The following is a 22,421-nucleotide window of genomic DNA, read 5'->3' on the forward strand; positions in this document are numbered from 1 at the left end:
CTGTAGTATGATTAAGAATCTTTGATCTCCTACACAATGAAAAATGTTCTGTGGATGTATATAAAAATCTGAGCTTATACATCTGAGCTAGAGAATTACCAAAACCACTGCAAATGCTGTGCTATTTTAGAATTAATTTCAATAAATCTATGTTTCTGCAGATCTTGACATTCTCAAAAGGCATTAAAGGGCAGGTAAAGCCAGATAGTTTAATATAACAATTTTATTTAAAGTAAGTACCTATTTTCTAATCAACACCTTATAATTATCAGACAGCTGATTATCTTGCTATGTCTTTACAATGAATTAAATGTATTTATGATGATAAATGCACACACGTAAACTTTCAAAAACATTTCTTTCTTCATATGAGGCCAAAAATATGCAGGGTATCTGTACCTATGAACAAAAAAAACATATATATGAAAATGAGCACGTAGCTAAGTGTTCACTTTTTATAGCAAACTAAGATGTATGTTTAAATATTTTACTAAAATTAATACTGCCTTAGTATTTGATGTTGTTTGAGTAGAGATGGAATTCTGGATTATTAATTAAGGACACAATCAGGAAATAGTTACATATTACACATTTCCATAGTAAAGTTGTATGAAAATGGTAATTATGTAGTTTATTTTCAAGGAAACAGTCATGGTATACAATGATGAAAACAAGTCAAATTGGGGAAAGTAACCCTTTATCCAAAGACTATATTCATGATCCAAGCCAAAAATGAACATTAAGCAAGTCAATGCAATCAAATCCTAGAGTGTCTACTCTCAGTTTCTGAAATCTGACTGAACCTAACTTTTTTAAAAAAGATGGGAATCTCTCTATGTCATCCGGGCTGGTCTTGAACTCTTGGCCTTAAGTGATCTTCCAGCTCCAGCCTCTCAAGTAGCTGGGACAACAGGTGCTTTGCCACTGCTCCTGGCTTTGAACCTAAATGTTAAATACATTTGAAAATAGTTACAAAATGAAAATAGTCTTGGATTTTCAAGTACTTTAAGAATTTTTACTTGGAAACATTCCCTTAATATTTTAAGCAATGTCATTTTAATTGCTTTTTCTTTGATTTTTGAAAGGGCTGAACTTGAAACTGTTAAGATATAAAATAAAAAATCAGACAAACGATTGTATTGATTATAAAATAAACCACTGCTGTAGCTTTTAAAAGAGCCTAAATATTTGGCTTTTAGACCTAACAGGTATAACAACCCAATCCGGTTTTTATGCATAAAATAATGAAACCATTTGCCTCCTTATATTTTGTACTATATAGCATTTAGTGTCATCGGATAGGCCAATTGGTTGTAAAATCAAAAATATTATCTAATGAACGTTATTCTCTCATAAACCACTAAAGCAGCAAAGGAGTTCTCTTTAACACGTGGTTTTCAAAATTGCATTTGCTTACTACAGTCCATCTTCATTTTTTTTAAAATTTGGTAATAGACATATTTTAAGCAATCTTTGCTGGCAACATGATGAAAATAATGATTTTTATTTTAGTTTCAGGAAAGTTTGAATAAAAAGTATGTCCACATTCTCAAGTAGAGATTAGTTGATAAAATAGTTTAAAAATATCAAATTACAGGCATCATTAAATTTCCATAAATTTTTCCTAATAAAAAGGACTTCTAGAGGCTTTACTCTGGTGTTTCACAATAAACTTTATCTCATCAAGCACGTATGGAGAAAATAAATTTAGTCACTAGTTCCATCTATACTGGGACTAATCTTTAAAGGCATACTGTTGTATCATATATTGTCAACTTCCAACTTTTGGTAAGAGATATATGAGAGACACAAAGATTTTTTTAAATTGTAAGATAAAGATTATAGAAGACAATATCATACAAATTAATCTATAAGATTAAATGAAATTATTTGTGTGAATAATTTCAAAGTAATGCTATAAGAGTTTTAGAAACTTGTTTTACAGAAAAAAATGTAAATTTTCTTCAAAAATATATTGATTGAATAATTAAGAGGTGAGTTGCTGATGTAGTAAAATAAAGTTTGTATAAAAAATAAAATTTTATTAATTAAAGACTTAGCTAGGTGCAGTGGCTCATGCTTGTAATCCCAGTGATTTGGGAGGTTGAGAAGGGAGAATTGCTTGAGTCCAGGAGTTCCAGACCAGCATTAGCAAGGACAACATAGTGAAACTTATTAAAATGGTTTATTGTTATTTACATAATATAAAAAACGTAGTATAGTCAATAAAATATTAAGAAAATCTAGGCTGTTGCGTTTATCGAGGGGGAAATCTTTACCAATAAAAATGTCAAATGTAAGGACAATACAATTTATGCCATTATGAAACGGGAAATTGGAGCAGATTGTTTCTGAGAAGAAATACTGTTTTGTTACGTAGGACATACAAGCTCATAATTTGCCTTACTATTATCCTAAAGTTTTCATTCTTTACCTTGATGATTAGTTTAATATATTGGCTTCTCAATTCCCTGATACCTTCAATGATCTTTTCCTCTACTTCACCATCACCACACACTTCCAGTGTCACTTTCATCACTTCAAATTGTTTGATTCCTAAATCAGGCCACATCTTCTTACCTTTGCAGCTACTTTGACCTATTCAGTTGCCTGCTTTCGGTCATGGTGCCCACTGCTCTGAGCTCTACTTTTTAATCTTCACTCTACCTTCAACAAAGCACTGTTTCTCCCCTGGAATATTGCAGTAGCCTCCTAACTCATTTCCATGAACTGGCTACTGGGGGACATTGTTCACAATGTCTGCTACGGTCTAAATGTTTGTGTATGAAGTTCATTGTTTAAACCCATCCCCAATATTGTGGCATTAAGAATGTGGGGTCTTTGGGAGGTGTTTGAGTCATGAGTCCTCCGCCCTCATGAATGAGATTAGTGTCCTTATCAAAAAGACCTGGGAAGGCTTGTGCACCTCTTCTTCCATATGAAGACACACATAAGTTACCGTCTATGAGTAACAGGTTCTTACCAGATAATGAATCTGTTCATATCTTGGTCTTGCACTTCCCAGCCTCCAGAACTGTGAGAAATAAGTTTCTTTTTTAAATTACCAAATTTAAGGTATTTTGTTACAGTAGCCAAAATAGTCTAAGACAATCATAAATGATTCCTTGAAAAATATGAGTATTTTAATTCCATCCTCTGGATTAAAAAACTTTCATTAATTCTCATTGTTTTTAAGATAATGTTCTAATTTCTAACAAATCCAAAAACATATAACCACTTTGTATTACTTTAGCTTTGGTCAGAGATTCAGAGTTCTCTTCAGTGTATTTATTTAGATCTATAAATATTATTTTATCATACTTATGTACAAATATCTCCATGCACTTCCCTTTCATATATTAGGACATTATTCAGTAATTTATATTTTGCCTCACCATCTACAACTTAAGATATTTGTATATTTACCATTTCCGTTAAAATAATTTAAATAGATAATACATGAAACTATACCATAGTGAGATGTGAAGTTTGCAACAATAATTTGTTTTCTGTTTCATTTACAGAGAAACATTTATCTTATTTCTAAATAACAAGATAGGTCTGGTAGTGTCCTCCTTTGTAGTTATCAGAAAGCACTGGGTGTTGCCACACCACTTAGACAGTTACTGCAAAGTGATACTTCACCGTCAGTTAGATCAATATGTCTGTGCCTTCATCCCAGGAGGCCAGCAGGGCAGGAAATTGCAAATTAGTGATAGAATTTGGAAGAGCAAGTGAGATTCAATTGCCCTATATTATGAAAAAGCGTATAATGCTTTCAGTTTGATTTTGTAGTTGTGCTAATATTTTTGTCCTTAAACTGCTCCTTTTATTTTCCCTTCCTCTGAAATGGAACTGAAATCACTTTATGGTATATTACTATTTTATTTTTCTTACAGCTGCTTATTCCATTATGTGAGTTCTCAAATTCTGCTTTTGACAAACTAGGCAAACTAGGCTATTTAGATATGAATCAGAAATGTATTGAAACATAATAATATAATTATCTTGATTTATAATAATGCCTTATATTTTTAAAGTGGACAGAGCTTAGCATAATTTTTATAAAATTAAATTTTCAATAATTTTTTCTAACTCTAACCACATTTCAATAAAATACTAGTGGTTTCAAAATCACAGTTCCAACATTTGAACTGATCAGCATAATCTTCATAAATTAATATAAATAAAATATAGTGGGATTTTTATATTCTGTTAAAACCTATTATTTATAAAATTAATTTGAAACATTTGATTTCCTTCCATATCAAAAAGTTTTCAGGGCATATCTTATTATCCATTCCTATCTTCTCTAATCTATTGTCTTCTCTGTTTCATTATTTTGGGACAAATGGTGGAAGCCTGTTTTTTGGGAACTGAGATAATAGATAATGAGGAATAATTTTTAATTGTTGTTTTCCTGCCCAGCCTGCTTCAAACCTCAACATTTGGGGAGTGGGGAGGTTAGAATCTAAGAAGAATTTCCTTCTAAGGTTTCTAGAAATACCTGAGACTGGGTAATTTATAAAGAAAAGAGGTTTAATTGACTCACAGTTCCACATGACTGGGAAAGCCTCAGGAAACCTATAATCATGGCAGAAGGGGAAGCAAACACACCCTTCTTCACATGGCAGGAGGAAGGAGAAATGCCAAGTAAAGAGGGGAAACCCCTTTATAAAACCATCAGCTCTCCTGAGAACTCACTATCATGAGAACGACATGGGAGTAACCACCCCATGATTCAATTACCTCCCATCAAGTCCCTCCCACGACATGCAGGGATTATGGGAACTGCAAGTCAAGATGAGATTTGGGCGGGGACACAGCTAAACCATATCATCATCTATCACTGCAGAATTAGAAGGCCACCCTGCAGAATTAGAAGGACTTCACCCAAAATTTGGTTCAGATGAGAAGACTGATGATTCTATACATACACCAAAATTATGTAAACAGGCTTATTACTGAATGAGGATTTATGGGAGAGCAGGACAGTCTTCCTAATTTGGTCCAAAAATGACTGATAAAAGGAAAAATACTGGTTTGGAATTTTTATGGTAGTTTTGGGGAGTGGTCAAAGTGAGGTTCACAACTGCAGGCAGGGTCTTACGTAGTTTTGAACCTCCTGCCAGCACCAGAGGAGAAAGCATCAGGCTCTCTCAACAGCTTGCAACAATGTGGGGCAGAAATAGGGGTGAGTCTTAAAAGTTTTCCATAGTCAAACTTTTGATTACAACAACTATTCACTAAATGCATTTTTCTTCCCAAAGACTGAAGTTTGGTCTTTTTTCATATATTAGCTGACTGATTATATGATATGAGAATATGAGTAAACAGGTCAAAATCATGAGACATTTGAAGAGAATATCATTGATTTCAAAAGAAAAGCAATATGATGGATTACTGATTTCCTCAGAAACACAACTGTAAGAACAGATGGACCAGTACTTTTGAACTAGCATAATAAAAATACAACAGCATAATATATCAAGAGAAAAATGTTAGTAATATTAAAAGTGCATGAGGAGTTACCAGAATAATTATGATCCATGAAACATTCAATAAATTCAGAATATCATAGTAATATAACAAAATAAGCAAATCAAAAAACAAGACCAAAGAAATATTTCAAAAGATCACAGAAAGAGAAGTAAAATTGTGAGGAAGAACTATGTGAAAAGTAATCATAATGACTGTTCTGGCATTTAAAAATATAAAAGACAGATTGAATGTACGTAATATAAAGTATACTTTCTAATGTATGAAAGAGAAAAAATAACTAACAACCCACACATAGTAGTAGCATTTAAAAGAGAAAGAAATGGAGATGACATCAGCAAAATAGAAGAATAGGAAGTCTTGGGCTGCAATCTCTACCAACTGCCCCAATCCCCCATGCCACCCAACACCCACAGAAAGTATAGCTAGCAACTATATAAAAACCACGCATCTTTTTGAAAACCTTGATACTTGGCAACTATCTTGAGACACCCACGTCATTTGTGGAACTGAATGAAAATAAATTAGATGAGTAGGAATTACCTCACTATGATGCTGTCCTTCATCCCCTCTGAAGTCAGCACAATGCCAGACAGAGGATTTCCCTGGGCCCACAGTTTCTACATTGGGGGAAAGAAAACTGGAGGCATCCAATCTTCCCTAGCATTCTGAGACACTTCCCAGAAAGCCCACTTCAGTCTCAACTCATGGGGAACAATGGGGCTAAAGGCATACCTAAACTGCCTGAGGTCAGATAGAAACAAAGGAGGTAGAGCTCTTAGTGACCAGCCTACAGATCTCGCTGGTATTTTTGTGTTCTTGACAGCTCAATCAGTGATACCAGCTGACTTTATAACCACTCTTTAAAACTGAGCTGATTGCCTTCATAAGTAAGGTAAGAAGTTCATTTTACTTTGAGTCTCTAGATAGCTAATCTCCATACTTTGCCTCAGAGCATGACCTAATGACCCTGCCCAGGCAGGGACACTCCCACCCCCATACATTTTGGGGAAGTATAGAGGCTAGACCTGCTTGACCTGAGCCATCAAATGGCCACTCAGCCAAAAGCTCACCACAGGCCTCCATCTGAGTGAGAGGCAATCCTCAGTCATGTATTTCCAAGGAGCATAGCTTCTGATCCTGCCTGTCCCAAGCAGTGACTGACTAATCTCAGAGCACAGCCCTTAGCCCTGCTCAACTGCAGATCCCATACAGTAGAATTTCCTGGCCAGGAAATACATCTGCTTCCTAGCCTGAATAGAAGGGAAAGCAGTATCCAGCCAGCAGCTCTTCCTGACAGCAGAATCTTGCCAGCAATTCTGGATGGCAGAACTCAGCTAGCAGCCCCACCTGACATTACAGCAAAGTCAGTGACCCCATGAATTAGAGAACACATAACAAGATCTGCCTGCCTGGGATTGTCACCAACTGGCCTTTCCAGAGTCACTGGCTAGTTTAAATAGCAAGGGTCTATTCCTGCCAAATAACACTTAAAAAGATCAGAAGAGGAGGCCGTCTCCTCAAATTCACAGAAAACAATGCAAGCACACAAGGATTATGAAGAATTAGGGAATCATTACACTTCAAGGGAAACTAATAAAGCTCCAATAATGGGCCCTAAAGAAATGGAGATCTCTGCAATGACTGACAATTCCAAATATTCTTCCTAAAGAAGTTCAGTAAACTATAAGAATATATGGATAAAAAAATCAAGTAAAATTTGGAAGACAACTCACAAAGTGAGCTTTACAACAAAATAGAAACAATTTTAAAAAATAGAAATCCCAGAGATGAGGAATGCAATGATTGAACTGAAAAATTAAATAGATTCAACAGAAGATGTGATTAAGCAGCAGAAAAAAATCAGTGAGCTGGAAAACAAAATTTACAATTATTCAATCAAAGGAGCCAAAAGACAAAAGAATGAAAAAATGTAACGAAATCCTACAGGAATTATGGGACACCATGAAGAGACCAAACTTACACAATAGAAGTTGCAGAAGGTGAATAAAGAGAACAAGGTCCATAGAGCATATTTAAAGAAATAAGGGCTAAAAAAAACTTCCATATTCTGTGAACAGATGCCAACATCCAGGTGTAGGAAGCACAGAAGTCTTCACTCAAATACAACTGAAAGAGGTGTTAATCAAGACACATAATAATCAAACTACCAAAAATCAAAGACAAAAAATTCTGGAGCAGCAACAAATAAGAAACTCATCACATACAAAGAAGTGTCACTATCAGCAGATTTCTCAGGAGAAACACTGCAGGCCAGGAAAGAGTGGGATGACATATTCAAAGTGCTGAAGAAACACAAGCTTTTAACCAAAAATACTTTAATCAGAAAATTGGTCTTTTAGGAATGAGGAAGAAATAGAAACTTTCCCAGAAAAATGAAAGCAAAGGGATGTCATAACCATTACGCCAGTCTTGTAAGAGTTGCTAAAAGGACTTCTTTAAGCTGAAACAAAAAGCTACAAATTAATAATGATACATATGAAACTACAAAGCTCAGTGGTATAAGTAAAGCAGAGCCATATTCAGAATACTGAAGTACTGTAATGATCACAGGTAATTTTATCCCTGGTACAAGAATTAAAAGGCAAAACTATTAAAACTATAGCTGAAATAAATCGTCAAGGGACACACATTACAAAGTGATGTAAATTCTGACCTCAGTAACATAAAATGTGTGTGGGAGGAGCAAAAGTGTGGAGTTGTATGCAAGTTAAGTTTTATCAGCTTGAAATAGGCTGTTTTATACATATATATATTATATATATAATATATATTATATATATTATATATATAATATATATATAATATATATATATTATATATACATCTTATATGTAAACCTCATGAGAAACACAAAGCAAAAATTATTAGGACAAAAAATTGGAAAGGTCAAAGCATACCACTTCTTAAAAAAAAAAAAATCAATACATAAAGGAAGACAGCATAAGAGGCAGAAACAAAGTATCTACAAAACAACCAGAAAACAATTAAGAAAATGGTAACAGTAAGTCCTTGTCTATCAATAATTACCTTGAATATAAATGCATTAAATTCTCCAAAAAAGAAAGTAACTGAAAGGATAAAAAAGCCCCAACTATTTGCTGGCTGTAAGAGCCTCACCTTGTATTTTAGGACACACACAGACTGAAAATAAAGGGATGGAAAAAGATATTCCATGCAAATGAAAACAAAAAGAAAAGCTCAAAAACTGAAATAGGAGACGCATAAGAACATCATATGATAATAAAGGGGTCAATTTATCAAGAGGATATAATAATAGTAAGTATACATATACTCAACATTGGAGCACCTAAAAATATAAAACAAATATGAAATGATTTTGAGAGAGAGGGATTGCCATACAATAATAGTAAGAGACTTTAATATATCACTTTTAACAATGGACTGATTATTCATACAGAAAATTAATAAGAAAACATCGACATGAACAACATATTAGATCAAATGGACCTAACAGACATAAACAGAACATTCCATCCAATAGCAACAGCATACACAATATTCTCAAGCACACAGAGAACATTCTCCAGGGTAGATCACCTGTTATGACAAAAGCCTGAGTTTTCTCAAGAAGTCTGAAATTATAGCAAGAATCTTCTCTGACCCACAATGGTATAAAACTAGAAATCAATAATGAGGAATTTCAAAAAACTCACAAATACATATAAATTAAACAGCATGCTCCTGAACAACTAATGGGTCAATACAATTTTTAAAACAATAATTTAAAAATATCTTGAGACAAACAAAAGTGGAAACACAACATGCCAAAACTTATGGAATACAGCAAAAGAAGTTCTAAGAGGAACGTTTATAACAATAAATGTTTACCTAAAAAAAACCCAGATTTCAAACAATTAATCTTACTCATCAAGCAGCCAGAGAAAAACTAAACACAAAGATAGGGGAAGGAAGGAAATAATAAAGATTGGAGTAGAAGTTAATGAAATGGAGACTAGCAAAACAATACAAAAGATTAATGAAACTAAGCGTCAGGTTTTTAAAAATTTTAATGTAATTTAATTTAATTTGAGATGGAGTTTCACTCTTGTTGCCCAGGCTGGAGTGCGATGGCACGATCTCGGCTCACTGCAACCTCCACCTCCCAGGTTCAAGCAATTCTCCTATCTCAGCCTCCCAAGTAGCTGGGATCACAGGCATGCGCCATGACAGCTGGCTAATGTTTTATATTTTTAGTAGAGATAGGGTTTCTCCATGTTGGTCAGGCTGGTCTTGAACTCCCGACCTCAGGTGATTTGCCCGCCTTGGCCTCCCAAAGTGCTAGGATTACAGGTGTTAGCCCCGCACCCAGCCAGGTTTTTTCTTTTTTTTTTTTTTAATTAATTTATTTTTAAACACAAACAAAATGAACAAACCTTTAGCTGTATTAACGAGAAAAAAGACTCAAGTAAATAAAATCTGAGGTGAAATCAGAGACATTAGAACTGATACCACATAATAGAATCATAAGCAACTATTATAAATATATAGCGACAAATTGGATAACCCAGAAGAAATGAATATACTCCTAGGCATATACAACCTACCAAGATTGAATCATGCAGAAATAAAAAATCTGAAATGACCAATAAGAAGTAAGGAGATTGAATCAGTAATAAAAATTTTCCCATCGAAGAAAAACCCAAGACCTGATGGCTTATGGTTGAATTCTACCTATTTTTTAAAGAACTAGTACTAATTCTCAAAGCCTTCCCAAAAATTGAAGAGGAGGGACTCTTTCTTTAGCTCATTTATCAAGTCACCATTACCCTGATACCAAAGTCAGACAAGGACATTACAAGAAAATAAAACTACAGGCCAATATCCTTGATGAACATAGACATAAAAATCCTCCATTATATTCTAGCAAGCTGAATTTATCAACACATTAAAGGGATCATCCATCATGATCAAGTGGTGTTTCTCTCGAGACACAGGAAGCTTCAACATAAGTAAATCAGTAACTGTGATACATCACATTAACAGAATGAAAGACAAAAACCATATAATTCTCTTATTAGATGCAGAAAAAAGCACTTGACAAAATTCAACATTCTTTCATGATAAAAACTCTCACCAAATTTAGTATAGAAAGAGTGTACCTGAACACATTTAAGGCCATATATGAGAAGTCCACAGCTAACACTGTACTCAATGGTAAAAAATTGGAAAGCTTTCCTTTAAGATCTGGAACAAGATGAGGATGTCCACTTTCACCACTCCTATTCAACATAGTATTGAAAGTCCTTACTAGAACAATTAGTCAATAGAGAAATAAATGAATTATGCTAAGTAAAACAAGGTAGGCACAGAAAGGCAAATACATGTTCTCCCTTACGTGTAGAATCTAAAACAGTTGAACTCATAGAAGCAGAGAGCACAAAGATAGTTACAGAGATTGGAGGCTGGGAAGAATAGCGAGATTATGGTCAAATGGCCCAAAATCTCAGACAGAAGGAAGTTCTTGTTTGCTCAGATCTATTGCACAGCATGGTGAATATAGTTGAAAATAATGTACTGTAATTTGAAAATTGCTAAGAGTCAATTTCGAAAGTTCTCACCACACAATTGATGTGTTTGAGAGCATAAGTATATTAATTAGCTTAATTTTATTACACGTTGTATATATAAATCATCACATGACTTTTTACTCCATAAATATATGTTATAAATTGTCAATTTACAATAAAATAGTTTTTAAAAGACCAAGACAATTCAAAAAGTTTAGAGAGACAATAAGTCACTTATAAAGGAATAAAAATATAGATATCAAATTTCTCAACACAAACACTGGAAACAAGGCAATGGTGTAATAACTTGAAAGTTTTGATGAAAGTAACAGAAGTTAAAATTGTATACAAAAAAGACTATTTCAGTATAAAGTCATATAGCCACTCTTCTCTAGCCTACAAGTCTTCAGAAGCTTTGCTGCACAAATATCCACAATGAAAAAATTTTGTACTTGGTTAATATTTTTAAATCAGTTTTTATTTTCTATTTCAATAATATATTACTTATTTTAAAATATTTTAAAAACCCTAACAAAATATACGTTTTTCTATTCAGATCATCAGGAAAAGACAAAAAATAAATAACAAACGTACAAATGAAAAGATACTAACTACATACAAAGTAGAGATTTTAGTGATAGTATGGGAATAGTATATATAATTTTTAAAAATTAGGTAAAATTGATACACTTTTGAAATAACACAATTTATCAGAATCGATTTCTACTTAATGCATATTTATTAAAAATATGGAATAAAATTACATTTAATATTAAAATATTGGAAGCAATATTTTTAAAGACAGAAACAAAGTTATGAAGTCCACAATGAACATTTCTGTTCAACATTGTTTCAAGGCCCTACCTCAGGCAATACCAAGATGAAGATAAGAATATAAGGATTGTAATTGAGAAAAAAAAGTTATTTTTCCATATGATGTTATTTACATACAAAACAAAAAAGAATCCACCTACAAATTATTTGATATAATACAAGTGTTTAACAAGGTTGTAGATAAAAATTGATGCATAGAGACAATTAGTACAGAAATTTCAGTTGCATTTCTATACAAAGGCAGCAAACTAGAAAGTTTAATTAAAGATAATATATAACTTAAAATTGTATGAGAGAATATCAAGTATCTAAGAATAAATATATGATGTAAAAAATACAGAGAAAATGATACGAATTAGAGGAACCAATTAAGACGTATCACGTTCATGGGCAAGATGACAATAGTGTGAAATAATGATTCTTTCTAAATTGATCAGTGTTGTTCCAATCAAAATTCCGAAGTAATTATTTATAAAACTCAAGAATGTGATTTTAAGGTTTTTGTGGAAGAGTAAAGAACAAAGAATATATAAGATGCTCAGAAGAAAAGAAGTGATGAGATACCTGTTAAACCAGATGACTTAACTCTTGAGCTTTGGTTATTCAGTGTGGCATAGGTGCAGAAACAGTCAGAATGCTGAGAAACAGAACCATGCTTGTGTGGAACCTCATTATATGACAAAATTGGCATGCCATATCAATGCCACAGAGAAGGGGCTATTCCACAAATGAACCTGAAAAACATATGAAAAAAATTGAATAACTCATATATTGACACAAAAAATTAATCATTTATGTAAAAATGTCAAAAAACGTGGCTAAAAATATAAATGAACATCTATTAGACTCAAGTAATACGTGTTATTCATAAAAGGTTGGTTATAACAGGAAATGTTGTGTTTAATTATATTAAGAGAATTAATTCTTAAAATGTTATCATAAACTAAGCAAGAAGCTAGGTTACAAACTTGGATAATTGTACACAACTAGAAAAGTATTGGTGTTAAGAACACATAAAGAACTCTTAAAAATGAATAAGGAAATGCTAATAATTCAATGGAAAACTGCCAAAAGACATAAGTAGATATTTTGCAGAAATAAAAACACATGTGGTCAATAAACATATGATAGGCAATAACATTACTGATCATGAAGATTCCAATCAAGATAGCCCTCTGATGCCATTTTCCACCTATTGTATCACCAAGAATATTAAGTCTGGAATAACAATGTTGGAGAAGATGTGTATCTATGGTGTCTTGATATATCACTGGTGGAAGTATACATTAGTAAACCAGTTTTGAAAATAGTTTTATTTTCTAAACAATCAAAATTAAAATATTTATGCACTTGAAAACCCAGCCATATTTGGTATATATCCAAGAGCAACACCTGCCCATGTACACCTGTTTGCAAAATAAGAGTGAAGGATAATGGAAAAAATAATATTGATGGTGGTGCTGTTCACAATAGCAAAAGTCTAGAAACAATTGAAATGTGTATCAGGCCGGGCGCGGTGGCTCACGCCTGTAATCCCAGCACTTTGGGAGGCCGAGGCGGGTGGATCATGAGGTCAGGAGATCGAGACCATCCTGGCTAACAAGGTGAAACCCCGTCTCTACTAAAAATACAAAAAATTAGCCAGGCGCGGTGGCGGGCGCCTGTAGTCCCAGCTACTGGGGAGGCTGAGGCAGAAGAATGGCGTGAACCCGGGAAGCGGAGCTTGCAGTGAGCCGAGATTGCGCCACTGCAGTCCGCAGTCTGGCCTGGGCGACAGAGCGAGACTCCGTCTCAAAAAAAAAAAAAAAAAAGAAATGTGTATCAGTGGGAGACTTGATGAAGTAACTGCCAGATAGTCATACGATGATACGAGTTTTGAAAGAAATATAATGGTACACAACAACATGGATTTATCTTGAAAAATATAGAAAAAGTATGTTCCTAAAGATTGCATGCATCATGAAATCTTTCATATAAAGTAATACCTGACTATAAAGAAAGTAAGGAAAGGACAAGCATGGGAATGGAAAGATTCTCAATTTGTCTCAGATTATAAAATGGAGAGGTAAGATTGAAAGGAAGCTTTTGGTTTGTTTTAACTTTTCTTTTTGAGTGGTAGATTTATGGAGCAAAAGTTATTATTAAAAATTACTAAGTAAATAAATATAAAGCAGACTATATATAAACAAATAACCAGAATATATCATGCACAAAAGTTTAAGATTATTTCAATGATTGGTTTTTGAGGTTCAAAAATAAATGATTACAGCCTTAGCAATTTTAGGGGATGGCTAAATGTTGACTTTATTATCTTACCACTAAACATCTGGTAATAAATGATTCTCTATTCTATTCCAAAACCTATTAAGGCATTTTGAAATTACTTAAAATTTATTTCTATAGAACATGAATTAATTAATAAAAATGTTCAAAATTTACACCATGCACAACTAAGAGAAGTTAGCTGTTTTGAATTGAAATACGTGTCTTTTTTGTAACAGTAGTTTTTTAGAAGTTGTTATATGCCTAATGTTCACAGGAATAAAGTTAATAAATCTGTCTTTGCCACTTTTTCCATGCATTCTATTAATAAGTCTTGTTACCAACATTTTAACACATATTTTATGTTTGACCTTGTCAAAACGCAAGTCATCATGTGGTGATTACAAAGTCATATGTGCCCTGAACTTGTAGGCTGTAAAGCTTTTGCTCTATAACTTGACAAGTAATTCTGATAACAAGTTGTACTGATATACTTTTCCACAAAGAAATCACGCTATTTCATATTAAATCATGGATTCTTTATAATTGCTACTTCCTATTGATACAACAACAGTAATATAACTAAGATTCATACAACTTATTTTAAAAATAGTTGAAAGCATGTTACCACAAGTTTTGCTCCTTTTCCCATGTTATCAGTTACTAACAGGTGAAATAGATTATTTTGATAATTTTGACTAATCAACAGTAGTAATGAGACAAAAACCCATTTTGCACAATTTTAGACTAACATTCGTAATTTATTCCTTAATTCATCAAGTATTACAGAGAATTTACTATGTAGCTAGAAGTATTCTAGTCATTGATGCTGGCGATTCTTTCTAATGGCTAGAGCAAGAACTAAATAAGTAAACAAACATATAAAACTAGATACTGGTAAGATTCAAAAGAGTGCATAACACTGAATGAATTGGGAAGCTACTGTATTCTGGGAGGTCAGAGAATCATAACCGATGAGATGGGATTTAAGCTGAGATCTGACTCACAAAAGCCAGCCATGCAAAAAATGGGGGAAGAGCATTCCAGGCATAAGTAATACTCATGCAGAGGTCCTAGCCTGAAAATAGTCTTAGAGTGCCAGTGAACATTTTCTGTAAAAGAGGGGGTGGTATTCAACTGGAGAGGAGTAGAGTAAGAGAAGTGACTGATGATGAAGGGAGATGGAATTGAGTTACCTCCTTGAGGAGCAATTAATAGATTGAAGTAGGATTTATGCATATTAGCTTTAATATATAATTTAATATTAAATTAGCTTTAATTTAATATTTAATAATCTGCATAATATGCAGATTAGCATAATATTTAATTATGCAGATTAGCTCTATGCCTAAATGTTATAAAAATCTGTTATTAATGAAATTAGTATATATGTATACATAGATGTATATATTTTATCTATTTGAAGAAAAATTATTCTCATTAATAATTTAAGTTCTCTTGGAGGTTTTGTGGTTTGTTTTCATTATAACTGGATTTTGAGGACTGGAAAATCAAAATTCAATACTCAATGAAGAAAATAGTTTATATAAAGCTAAAAAAAAAAAGAGCTCCATAACCTTATTATATTTTAAGTTATCTGAGGAAACCTCATCTGAATCTGCAGTATTAAAACCTAAGGACACTGCTCCCCCTGCAGACTCTGGCTTTATCGCCCTTGTCTTCCCAACCACCAGCCTGGAGAGGGAGCATTCCTTCTTGATTTGCATTGCTGCTTACACACCATTGAGCCTCTGTGGGGCACATGCCATCAAATTATATCATATGTTCCCCTCATTTTTACAGTGATCCCCATGCTCCCTGTTTTTCCCCTTTATTTATTGAAGATTTTGATACCTGCCTTGCTGTATTTCTCTCTAAAATAATTTATATTCCTTTTTTGATGATTTCAATACCTACCTACATAATGAATTCAACATGCTGACTTCTTTATTTCTTGTCCCCCATTAACATCAACCATCCACTGCATGGGCATATGTTAGATTTTGTCATTACCAATAAGACCCATACCCCAAATTTCAATTTCAAGCACCCGCTCACTACTCACCACCTCCTTCATTCTATGTCTAATACTGTCAATGAAACTATTATTTGATTCCTCTAGAATCTATCATTCATTGACCCTATCATTTTTTTTTTTTTTTTTTTGCTAAATTGCTTTCCTCGTTTTCCTCATTATTTTACTTAGACTCACATCGTCTCTTTATGATCACTACCCTGAATATACAAACTCCTTTGACCCTCTTTCCCATCATCATTTCTATTTGGCAAAACTTTTACCCTATTTTAGATTCTCTACCACTGGCCTTTTCTTTCTCTCACAGGGGATAACTTCCCTGCTCGTTTCCAAAGTCCTACCTGGCCAGAACTATCCAGTGTACTCCTAATGTATTAACAATTTAATTTATTTGTTTGTTTATTTATTTCACAAATGTTATTGAGAACACACACACTTAGTCCATAACATGACCAAAATAGCAAGGTGTCCAGGGTGGCGGGAGAGGAATGAACCAGAGAAAGAGATGTGGGAAATAAGAGTAGGAGGAGGGAAACCTAGACCAAGTGGGCATTGTCGGCCCTATTAAGTTCTTTAGCTTTAACTCAGAGTTAAAATTAGAGCTATTGTTGGCTTTTATGCAGTGCTATTGCAGTATTTGGCTCCAGAGTAGCAAAAGTCGAAACAGAAAAACCAGTTAAGAAGTTATTTACATATTCCAGATCAGAAATAATAGTGTCTTAGACCAGACCCCTTACTTGGAGAGGTAAGTTGTGGAAAGTTGTTGGACTTTGAATGTATTTTAAAGACAAAGGTAAAAAGATTTGTTGATGGATTGGATATAGGTGTGAGTGAAAGAGAAGGTCTCAGATGACTCTATGGTATTCAGCCCAAGAAATTAGAAGGAGGGAAATGTCATTTTCAGAGAAGAGGAAAAAAGAGTGGACCAATTTTTATTTATTTTTTGCTTTAGGTTTAGAGGTACATATGCAGGCTTGTTACGTAGGTAAACTTGTAGATAAACTTCACAGAGGTTTGTTGTATAAATTATTTAATTATCCAGGTACTCAGTCTAGTACTCAGTAGTTATTTGTTTGATACTCTTCCTCCTCCCCACTCCACCTTCAAGTAGACCACAGTGTCTTTTGTTCCCCATGGTCTGTTATGTCCATGTATTCTCATCGTTTAGTGACAGTTTACAAGTGAGAACATGTGGAATTTGGTTTTCTACTCCTGCATTAGTTTGTTATGGATGATGGCCTTCAACTCCATCCATGTTCCTGCAAAGGAGTTGATCTTGTTCTTTCTTACTCTTGCATGGTATTTCATGATGTATATGTACCACAATTTCTTTATCCAATGTATCATTGATGGGCATTTGGATTGATTCCATGTCTTCGCTGTGTTAATAGTACTGCAAGGGACACACATGTGCATGTGTCTTTATGGCAGAATGATTTATATTCCTTTGGGTATATACCCAGTAATGGGATTTCTGAGTTGAATGGTAGTTCTGTTTTTAACTCTTTGAGGAATTGCCACACTGCTTTCCACAATGGTTGAACTAATTCACACTCCCACCAACAGAGTAAAAGTGTTCCTTTTTCTCTGCAACCTAACTAGCATCTGTTACTTTTTGACTTTTTAAGAATAGCCATTGTCACTTGTGTGAGATGGCATTTCATTGTGGTTTTTACTTGCATTTCTCTAATGATCAGTAATATTGAGCATTTTTTCATATGTTGGCCACATATATGTCATCTTTTGAAAAGCGTGTGTTCATGTCCTTTGCACATTGTATTAGTCCATTCTCTCATTGCTATAAAGAACTACCAGAGACTCGGTAATTTATAAAGAAAAGAGACTTAATTAGCTCATGGTTCTGAAGGCTGTATAGGAAACTTAGTTTGGGAGGTCTAAGGAAACTTAATATCAGGGCGAAAGGCGAAGAGGAAGGAGGCACATGGCCAGAGCAGAAGAAGAGAGAGAGGAGAGGTGCTACCCATGTTTAGAGAATTCACTGACTATGACAAGAACAGCAAGAGGAAAATGTGCCCCCATGACCCAATCACATCCCTGCAGGCCCCTCCTCCAGCACTGGGGATTACAATTTGACATGAGATATGGGGGGGGACACAAATCCAAACCATATCATTCTGCACCTGGCCCCTACCAAATCTCATGTTCTTCACACATTGCAAAATAAAATGACCTCTTCTCAACAGTCCCCTGAGTTTTAAATCATTTCAGCATTAACTCAAAAGTCCACAGTCCAGAGTCTCATCTGAAACAAAGCAAGTCCTTTCTGCCTGTGAGCCTGTAAAATCAAAAACAAGTTAATTACTTCCAAGATATAATGTTGGTATAGACATTGAGTAAATACTCCCTTTCCAAAAGGGGGAATCTGCCATAACAATTGGCTACAGGCTCCATGCAAGTCCAAAACCCAGCATGGCAGTCAACTAAATCTTAAAGCTCCCAAATAATCTTTATTGATTCCATGTCTCACATCTAGTCCACATTGATACAAGGGGTGGGCTCCCAAGTTTTTGGGCAACTCCACCCCTGTGGCTCTGCAGGGAACAGACCCTGTGGCTGCTTTTTACAGGCTGGCACTGAGTGCCTGAGGCTTTTCCAGGTACATGGTGCAAGCTGTTGGATCTACTATTCTTGGGTTTGGAGGACAGTGGCCCTCTTCTCACAGCTCTAGTAGGCCGTGCCCCAGTGGGGACTCGGCATGGTGGCTCCAACCCCACATTTCCCCTGTGCACTACCCTGGTAAAAGTTCTCTATGAGGGCCCTGCCCCTGCACCAGACTTCTGCCTGGACATTCAGGCATTTCCATACATCCTCTGAAATCTAGGTGGAGGATCCCAAGCTTCAACTCTTGCTCTCTGTGCACCTACAGGCTTAACCCCATGTGGAAGCTGCCAAAGCTTATGGCTTACACCCTTGGGAGAAGTGGCCTGAGACATATCTGAAGTCTTTTTAGCTATGGCTAGAGCTGGAGCAGCTGGAACACAGGAAGCAATGTCTTGAGGTTGTTTAGGGCAGCGGGGCCCTGGGCCCAGTCCATGAAACCATTCTTCCCTCCTAAGCCTCTGGGCCTGTGATGGGAGTAGCTACTGAGAAGGTCTTTGAAATGATTTCAAGGCATTTTTTTTTCATTGTCTTGGCTATTAACATTTGGCTCCTCTTTACTTATGCAAATTTCTGCAGCTGGCTTGAATTCTTCCCCTGAATGTGGGTTTTTCTTTTCTGCCACATGGCTAGGCTGCAAATTTTCCAAACTTGTGTGTTCTGCTTTTCTTTTAAATATAAGTTTCAGTTTCAGATTATCTCTTTGCTCACAAATATAAGAATATTTGCTGTTAGAAGGAGCCAGACCACATCTTGAGTGCTTTGCTGCTTGGAAATTTCTTTTGCTAGATATCCTAAATTATCACTTTGTAGTTCAAAATTCCACAGATCTCTAGAGCAGGGACATAATGCCACCAGTCTCTTTGCTAAAGCATAGCAGGAATGACCTTTACTCCATTTCCCAATAAGTTCCTCACCTCCGTCTGAGACTACCTCACCCTGGACTTTATTGTCCATATCACTATCAGCATTTTGGTCACAACAATTTAACAAATGCTAGGAATTTCCAAACTTTCCTTGATCTTCCTCTCTTCCTCTGAGTCCTCCAAACTGTTCCTACCTCTGCCCATTACCCAGTCCCAAACGTGCATCCACATTTTCAGATGTCTTTATAGAAATACCCCACTCCCAGTACCAATGTTCTGTATTACTTCATTATCGCATTACTATAAAGAACTACATGAGACTGGGTAATTTATAAAGAAAAAAGCTTTATTTGGCTCATGGTTCTGTAGGCTGTACAGGAAACATGGCTGGGGAGGCACTGGGAAACTTACAATCATGGCAGAAAGCAAAGAGGAAGGAGGCACATCTTACATGGCTGAAGCAGGAAGAGAGGGCAGAGGTGCCACAACACTTTTAAACAATCAGATATTGTGAGAACTCATTCACTATCACGAGAACAGCAAGGAAGAAATCTGCCACCATGATTCAATCACCTCCCACCAGGACCCTCCTCCAAAACTTGGGATTAAAATTTGACATGAGATTGGGGTAGGGACACAAATTCAAACCATATCACTCAGTTTTTAATAAGGTTGTTTGTTTTTTTTCTTGTAAATTTGTGTCTTATAGGTGCTGGATATTAGACCTTTGTCACATATTTTGCAAATATTTTCTCCCATTCTATATGTTGTCTGTTTACTCTGTTGATATTTCCTTTTGCTGTGCAGAAGCTCTTAAGTTTAATTAGATCGCATTTTGTCAATTTCTGCTTTTGTTGAAATTTCTTTTGGCATCTTTGCCAAAGAATTTGTCATGAATTATTTTCCAGTTCCTATGTCCAGAATGGTATTGCCTAGGGTGCCTTCTAGCATTTTAAAATCCTTAACAAAATACTTGAAAACCCAAACTGAATCTAGCCGCACATCAAAAAATCGAATCCATCATAATCAAGTAGGCTTTATTTCTGGGATGTAAGGTTGGTTCAATATATGCAAATCAATAAATGTGAATCCATCCCATAAACAGAACTAAAGATAAAAACTTCATGATTGCTTCAATAGATCCATAAAAGGCTTTTGATAGAATTCAACATCATTTCATGTAGCAAACTCTCAATAATTTACATATTAAGCAAACATACCTCAAATTAATAAGGGCCTTATATGACAAACCGACAGCCAACATCATACTAAATGGGTAAAAGCTGGAAGAATTTCCCTTAAAAACTGGCACAAAACAAGGATGCCCCTTCTCACCACTCCTATTCAACATAGTATTGGAAGTCTTGATCAGAGCAATCAGGCAGGATAAAGAAAAAAATGGCATCCAAGAAGGAAGAGAGAAAGTCAAACCATCCTTGTTTGCAAATGATATGATTCTATATCTAGAAAACCCCATAGTCTTAGCCCAAAAGTTACTTCAGCTCATAAACAACTTCAGCGAAGTTTCAGGATACAAAATCATTTTACAAATATCACTAGCATTCCTATGCATCAATTTTTTAATACTCTGACCCAGTAGATAATTAGCACTGTATTGCAGAGAGCAAATAAATAGCGTATGTTACAAAGGTCTCAAATGTAAATGCCTATGGGGCAACCTAGTCACGTAAGAGAGATGTGAGCTTGACATAAAATAACAAATGACAATTCAAACTCAGCCTCTATGCCAGGGTGACAACAAGGAATGCTGGACACTGAAATCAGAACTATTCTCTTAGTTGTAGCAGATGGCTGCCATATGGAAATGCAGCCATTGTCGCTGAATCTGCCATTTACTTAAGGAAAACAATATCTCCATTTTTATGGAAATATTCTTAATTTTTAAAAATAATGGTTGCTAATTCAAATAAAGGAAAAAAAACAATGGATGCTAAAGAAAACCTTTGGTCACATGAAGTCTACATGCCACAGCTTGAAACATCTTGTGGGTCGGGTTGGGGGGACCTGTGAATTAGAGTTGGAATCAGAAGACCTAACTTTGACTTCTATCTGATCAATTCTATTGCTGTCTTACCTGGACCCGGTCATTTAGCTTGTCACTGACTTGGCCTCCTATTCTGGAAAGTTAAAAAGGTAGTTAAATTCTAAAGTCTTTAAGTTGCTTTAAGATATATGGATCTAGATTTTGACCAATAGCCAGCCTGTGGGTGATCAAAGCTAGCAGGCTTATGAGAGAGCATGAGTTGAGCGGGTAAGAAAGGTTTTTCTGTTCCCAAACACCTGTCTACTAGTACATCAGTGTCTGAGGAGGAGTGGAAAATGGGACTTAGTGGGTGGGTTTGGAGGATCAACCATCACAGAGCACTTGAGTACTGAGATGCAGGCAGCTAAAGAGGAGGATAAGATTCTTGCCTTTTAGGAGTGGAAAGACTGCCTGAGAAGAAAGAGGGTGCTGATAATTTATCAATAAACAGAAGCCAAATATCTGGCTCAAGAAAACCTCAACAGATTATACAATTATATGTAATGACTCATAAGTGGATTAGCTGGTAAGAAAAGTCTTACTTCTCAGTGTTCTGCTTGGTGTTTCTTTACCTGACTGGATGATAGCATAAGAAGCTAATGACCTACAGCTAACGAGCTTTTGTAACATAAATGTAAGACACCCAGGTTTAAATTCAAATTTTGACTTTTTTCTATAGCTCTTAGGCACATTTAAAAAAATCCTGTAGA

General features: G+C 35.0%; 1 protein-coding gene and 1 long non-coding RNA gene across 3 annotated transcripts in view; one reads left to right on the top strand and one right to left on the bottom strand.

Annotated features, from left to right (window-relative positions):
• GPC5 (glypican 5) overlaps positions 1-22,421 on the top strand; it is a 1,468,617-nt gene that overhangs the window by 940,968 nt on the left and 505,228 nt on the right. The window lies entirely within an intron of this gene.
• GPC5-AS2 (GPC5 antisense RNA 2) lies at positions 206-12,619 on the bottom strand. Its single transcript, NR_120382.1, has 3 exons — positions 12,450-12,619; positions 2,984-3,034; positions 206-399 (listed from the first exon to the last, which is right to left on the bottom strand). It is a non-coding gene; the product is annotated as a GPC5 antisense RNA 2 (long non-coding RNA).

The sequence above is a fragment of the Homo sapiens genome, chromosome 13 (genome assembly GCF_000001405.40).
Source record: "Homo sapiens chromosome 13, GRCh38.p14 Primary Assembly".
NCBI classification, from domain to species: Eukaryota; Metazoa; Chordata; class Mammalia; order Primates; family Hominidae; genus Homo; species Homo sapiens.